Consider the following 6,804-nt stretch of genomic DNA (forward strand, 5'->3'; position numbering starts at 1 on the left):
AAAAAACCAAGAACCATAACACTTAATTTCTCCTCAACAAGTAGAAGATGGTACTCGTTACTTCAGTTTTTTACCCATGGATGCTCTGGGTCCACCAGAGATACAGAGACACAGGTTCAAAGGAGTCCAGACCTCTCATGCCAGAGTCCCAAGGGGCTCCCAGAAAAGATGGCAAGAGAGACAATGTTTCTATTATCAGAAAACTTTAAATCTAATGGGAGAAGACAAATAATAAACCAATGAATAAACCATAAAGGACCTGACAAGTAATACTGTATATTTGAAATTTAAACCCAAATTATAATCAATAAAACTCCCTTTCTTATTTGTAAGGAAACTAATATATAATTACATTAAAATCCTTCCCTTATGTGAGATTGCATTTTAAGTGTGAAGTAGGGATCCTGAGCCTCTTTAGACCAATACTTCATATAACTCCATAAACTTAAGTCATAGTTAAAGGGTAATCTTCAGAATTCCTTAGTGGGGATGGGGAGTAGTTTAAATCAAAGCCGAAAGAAGTTAACTCTAAACTGGAAAATATTGGTATGGTGGTCTGTTCTGTGTCAACTTGGAAAAGCTGAAACTACGTTTCCTAGAATGCTTATACCTATGCTGTATATTATACAGAGTTATATTGGTCAACAGTGTAATTTGCATAGATTTGGATGATGGAAATGAAACAGTAGCCATTATTCTCTGAACATCATCCTTGGATGCGGTGTCAGACAGATGCATGTGCCAGAGGGGTCCACATTATTGTCACCCTCCTCCACTCAAGGTCGAGCTTTTCTTCCTGACCATTCCCTCTGGTGTTTAAGAGATCCCAGGTCCATTAACAAACATGGCTGTGGATCCAAACAGGCAATAGTTGCCCCCACAGACTTCTCCATCAGCTCTCCCTTGGTCTCACTTTGGTGGCTGGATGTGCCTGGCTTTCAGATTTATGTCTTCTTTGATCCCCCAGTCACCCTTCATTTCACTTCCCCCACCCTCCCACAATTGTATAGGATCTCATTCCTATAATAAATCTCATATCCATAGCTCAGAAAGATCAGCTTCCTGGCTAAACTCTTGATGTGGCAATTGGCTAAAAAGGATTATTTCATTCCATTAACATTTGTTGAACATTGATCTGGGCCGAATGTCTTCCACATACACTAATCTCATTTTATTCTTATGATCTCTATGTGAGGTTGACGTCATAACCTCCTCTTACAGATAGGAAAACAAAAGCTGAAAGAGATTAACTGGCTTGTCTAAGAGAACACAGCTAGAAGAGGATAAGTGCAGCAAAGCATTCTCCTTGGCCTGCTAGCCCCTGCCCACCTACTTTACATTATATATACACACCCAACAAAGAAAACACTGCGTTGGCACACTCGCAAGACCAAGGGAGAAATAAATGAATGACATCATGGCTAAGGAAATTCAAGTAATCAGGTTATTAGTAAAGCAGGTCTAGGGCTAAATCAGAAGAGTGAGGGAGAAGAAGAATTAAGCATGCTAAGCACAATCCACAAATTCTCACAGCCTCCAGATAGGCACTACTGCTATCCTTCTTTTACAGACAAAAACACAAAGTATGAAGCCTCCAAGTGACCCAATCAAGATAAAGCAAATCTTCAAACATCCTAATTCTTCAACAGCAGAATATATGGCCACAATTGTTTAAAAACCACATGAGTTTCCCACACAAATAAAAAAAGGGGTGGAGGGGAATCACAAGAGAGACAGAGAAAAAAAGAAAGAAGAGTGTTAGAAGAAAATGAGAAACAAAGGGAGAATTGAGAAGCAAAGAAGTGAGGATGTCAGATGATCCCCGTTTATTCCAAAAACATTTCTTGGTCACCTGCTCCAGGTCTGGAACCATGCAGAATCTGGGTATGTGATGTGAATAAATCTCCGCTCCATGGGGCTTGCATTTCAGCAAGTAAGTCAGACAATAACTTCCAAGTTTAACAACTGCTACGTTGTCTGCAAGTAACTTTAAATACTTCATAGACTGTGTTTATCAATAAGTGGGCATTTTAATTTATATCTTAGAGGTGGTTGATTAATATCTGAACTAGCCTAATCGAAAATCTCCAGGATGATTAGTTAGCATTTGAAACACTAATCAAAATCCACACTCAGGAGGCAGCTATCAGAAAGCTAGTTACCTTAATATCTGATCAACAGCAGGTTTGTTACTTAGTACAATGGATATTATAGATGATTTTTCTTTGGTCAAATGAAAGATCTGCCAGTTGTATGGAATGACCAGAAATATTCTATAGGCACTCCCAACCTTGCAATAAACACATATAAAAATCTAGCAAAACTGATAGCCTTATATCTTTTGAAATAATGCCCTAGACCTTGGTATTTCTTTGGATCCTACCATTTAGTCAGTATTTGACCCTGATTAGAAGTTTAGCTGATTCTTATTACTGATTATTTTCACATCTGCCTCAAATGAACTCTTTAATTAGGGGTTAGTTTGGGTGCTTAAAAAGACTAAAAAGACAGCTCCCAGCACTTTGGGAGGCTGAGGCGGGTGGATCATGAGGTCAGGAGATGGAGACCATCCTGGCTAACGCGGTGAAACCCCGTCTCTACTAAAAATACAAAAAATTAGCTAGGTATGGTGGCAGGTGCCTGTAGTCCCAGCTACTTGGGAGGCTGAGGTAGGAGAATGGCGTGAACCCTGAAGGGAGACCTTGCAGTGAGCCGAGATCATGCCACTGCACTCCAGCCTGGGCGACAGAGCGAGACATCTCAAAAAAATAAAAAAGAAAGAAAAAAGAAAAAAGAAAGCGAGGATTTCACTGTGCCAACAGAACAAGCTGTGTGACAGTTTTTATGCCTGCTTGGTATTTGTTGTGAAGAATCTGTTTTGAAACTTTCCTTCAGTGTAATATCCCCGCTGGTTATGCGTTCTGGAGAAAACATGATAATTGCAAACAACCAAGGTGGCTTAGGTCATTTTACAACAGCAATGAATTTAAATACAGATGTCCTGAGTCCTGAGAGAAAAACACAGGGTAACGTGGAAGCATAGGACATCTATTCCTGACCTGATCTAATAAAACAGAATTAGGGGTCACACGGTGGGGTGAAGATAGGGTGACAATGAGAGGTGACCTGAGTTAAGGTATAAAGGAGCCAACTCACACATGAAGTGCCTAGGTGAAGATTTTAACTAGATTGAATTAAAATAGACAAAATGAATAAATGAGTGAGACTTTCCAAAGGAGAGACAAAGGGAAACAATACTAGGTTCAACACACAAATTATTCCCATTTGGCAACAACCACAGACAAAACTAAAAAGATGTTTCTAGGAGAAGCTTCACCTTGGCCAACTTAGATAAGCCTTCAACCTTAGCAAGAAAATCCTGGCCCTATCTCAGTTCTCAGGGCATTTTATCTTCTTGGACATTTATCCTGTAGGCACTGATATACTTAATCTGAAATAGGAATTGGTGGGAATCTTTTTGGCAGCACTGTATTTGGCAATGGTATTTTTGTTCCAGTGCCCAATTAGCCCACAACTCCTCAGTGAACAACACACCTCATTCATTTGCATAATTGTTTCTTTTGCTGCTTCCTTTATAAAAAATAATGAGGCATTATGCACATAATTAAAGCAAGCTTAACAAATGAGGGCCAAGCTGACACGAATCACATGAGAAGGTCAAGAGAAATTAGTATTAAGGCCTGTCTGCTAAGCATAAGGCCAATCTAATACTTACTGTCTCCAGGGAGCAGAAGGACTCCTGTGGGGCCTCTGCCTTTGGATCTTCACTGAAGTCAGACCTCCTGGAGGAAACAAGATTTGATTTCATCCAGCCCTCTCCTACTTCTCTCCTTTTCCTCCTGTCCTTCTCAGTGAGAAGATTCTGGCATGATTGTTATTAGAGTACTATGAAATAAATCCTAAATAATTCCTCCTTCTTCTGATTCAACAGATATTTTTCCCAATGAACCTTACTAGAAAACTAATAGAAATAAGCCAAGTTCTTTTTATCATTATTCTTATTATTCTTATTATTATTATTATTAAACCTTAAGTTCTAGGGTACACATGCACAACGTGCAGGTTTGATACATAGGTACACATTTGCCATGTTGGTTTGCTGCACCCATCAACTCATCATTTACATTAAGTATTTCTCCAATGCTATCCCTCCCCCAACCCCCAACCCCAGAGTGTGATGTTCCCCGCCCTGTGTCTAAGTGATCTCATTGTTCAATTCCCACCAATGAGGGAGAACATGTGGTATTTGGTTTTCTGTCCTTGTGATGGTTTGCTGAGAATGATGGTTTCCAACTTCATCGATGTCCCTACAAAGGACATGAACTCATCCTTTTTTACGGCTGCATAGTATTCCATGGTGTATATGTGCCACATTTTCTTAATCCAGTCTATCATTGATGGACATTTGGGTTGGTTCCAAGTCTTTGCTATTGTGAATAGTGCTGCAATAAACATATGTCTGCATGTGCCTTTATAGCAGCATGATTTATAATCCTTTGGGTATATACCCAGTAATGGGATTGCTGGGTCAAATTGTAATTCTAGTTCTAGATCCCTGAGGAATTGCCACACTGTCTTCCACAATGGTTGAACTAATTTATACTCCCACCAACAGTGTAAAAGCATTCCTATTTCTCCACATCATCTCTGGCATCTGATGTTTCCTGACTTTTTAATGATTGCCATTCTAAATGGCATGAGATTGTATCTCATTGTGGTTTTGATGTGCATTTCTCTAATGAATGTGATGATGAGCATTTTTTCCTGTGTCTGTAGGCTGCATAGGTGTCTTCTTTTGAAAATTGTCTGTTCATATCCTTCGCTCACTTTGTGATGGGGTTTTTTCTTGTAAATTTGTTTGAGTTCTTTGTAGATTCTGGATATTAGCCCTTTGTCAGATGGGTAGATTGCAAAAATTTTCTCCCATTCTGTAGGTTGCCTGTTCACTCTGATGGTAGTTTGTTTGTTTGTTTGTTTGTTTTTGCCGTGCAGAAGTTGTTTAGTTTAATTAGATCCCATTTGTCAATTTTGGTTTTTGTTGCCATTGCTTTTGGTGTTTTAGTCATGAAGTCCTTGCCCATGCCTATGTCCTGAATGGTATTGCCTAGGTTTTCTTCTAGAGTTGTTATGGTTTTAGGTCTAACACGTAAGTCTTTAATCCATCTTGAATTAATTTTTGTCTAAGGTGCAAGGAAGGGATCCAATTTCAGCTTTCTACATATGGCTAGCCAGTTTTCCCAGCACCATTTATTAACTAGGAAATCCTTTCCTCATTGTTTATTTTTGTCAGGTTCATCAAAGATCAGATGGTTGTAGATGTGTGGCATTATTTCTGAGACCTATGTTCTGTCCCATTGGTCTATATATCTGTTTTGGTACCAGTACCATGTTGTTTTGGTTACTGTAGCATTATAGTATAGTTTGAAGTCAGGTAGCATTATGCCTCCAGTTTTGTTCTTTTTCCTTATGATTGTCTTGGTAATGTGGGTTCTTTTTTGGTTCCATATGAAATTTAAAGTAGTTTTTTCCAAATCTGTGAAGAAAGTCATTGGTAGCTTGATGGGGATGGCATTGAATCTATAAATTACCTTGGGCAGTATGGCCATTTTCACGATACTGATTCTTCCTATCCATGAGCATGGAATATTCTTCCATTTGTTTGTGTCCTTTTATTTCCTTGAGCAGTGGTTTGCAGATCTCCTTGAAGAGGTCCTTGACATCCCTTGTAAGTTGGATTCCTAGGTATTTTATTCTCTTTGTAGCAATTGTGAATAGGAGTTCACTCATGATTTGGCTCTCTGTTTGTCTGTTATTGGTGTATAGCAATGCTTGTGATTTTTGCACATGGATTTTGTATCCTGAGACTTTGCTGAAGTTGCTTATCAGCTTAAGGAGATTCGGGGCTGAGACAATGGGGTTTTCTAAATAAACAATCATGTCATCTGCAAACAGGGACAATTTGACTTCCTCATTTCCTAATTGAATATCCTTTATTTCTTTCTCTTGCCTGATTGCCCTGGCCAGAACTTCCAACACTATGCTGAATAGGAGTGGTGAGAGAAGGCATCTTTGTCTTGTGCCAGTTTTCAAAGGGAATGCTTCCAGATTTTGCCCAATCAGTATGAAATTGGCTGTGGGTTTGTCATGAATAGCTCTTATTATTTTGAGATATATTGTATGAATACCTAACTTATTGAGAGTTTTTAGCATGAAGGGCTGTTGAATTTTGTCAAAGGCCTTTTCTGCACCTATTGAGATAATCATGTGGTTTTTGTCTTTGGTCCTGTTTATGGATTACCTTTATTGATTTGTGTATGTCGAACCAGCCTTGCATCCTAGGGATGAACCTGATTTGATCATGGTGGATAAGCTTTTTGATGTGCTGCTGGATTCGGTTTGGTAGTATTTTACTGAGGAATCTCACATCAATGTTCATCAGGGATATTGGTCTAAAGTTCTCTTTTTTTATTGTGTCTCTACCAGCCTTTGGTATCAGGATGATGTTGGCCTCATAAAATGAGTTAGAAGGGTTTCCCTCTTTTGCTATTGATTGGAATAGTTTCAGAAGGAATCGTACCAGCTCCTCTTTGTACCTCTGGTAGAATTCGGCTGTGAATCTGTCTGGTCCTGGACTTTTTTCGGTGGCAGGCTATTAATTATTGCCTCAATTTCAGAGCCTGTTATTGGTCTATTCAGAGATTCACCCTCTTCCTGGTTTAGTCTTGGGAGGGTGTATGTGTCCAGGAATTTATCCATTTCTTCTAGATTTTCTAGTTTATTTGA

General features: G+C 39.1%; 1 long non-coding RNA gene across 1 annotated transcript in view; it reads right to left on the bottom strand.

The window, feature by feature from the left end:
* Positions 1-4,032, bottom strand: part of LOC107986289 (uncharacterized) — a 37,189-nt gene extending 33,157 nt beyond the window's left edge. Inside the window, exon 1 of the long non-coding RNA XR_001741728.2 lies at positions 3,737-4,032. This is a non-coding gene — a long non-coding RNA (uncharacterized LOC107986289). The remainder of the gene's footprint in view (positions 1-3,736) is intronic.
* Between the last annotated feature and the right edge of the window lie 2,772 nt (positions 4,033-6,804).

This window comes from Homo sapiens, chromosome 4 (genome assembly GCF_000001405.40).
Source record: "Homo sapiens chromosome 4, GRCh38.p14 Primary Assembly".
In the NCBI taxonomy this organism is placed as follows: domain Eukaryota; kingdom Metazoa; phylum Chordata; class Mammalia; order Primates; family Hominidae; genus Homo; species Homo sapiens.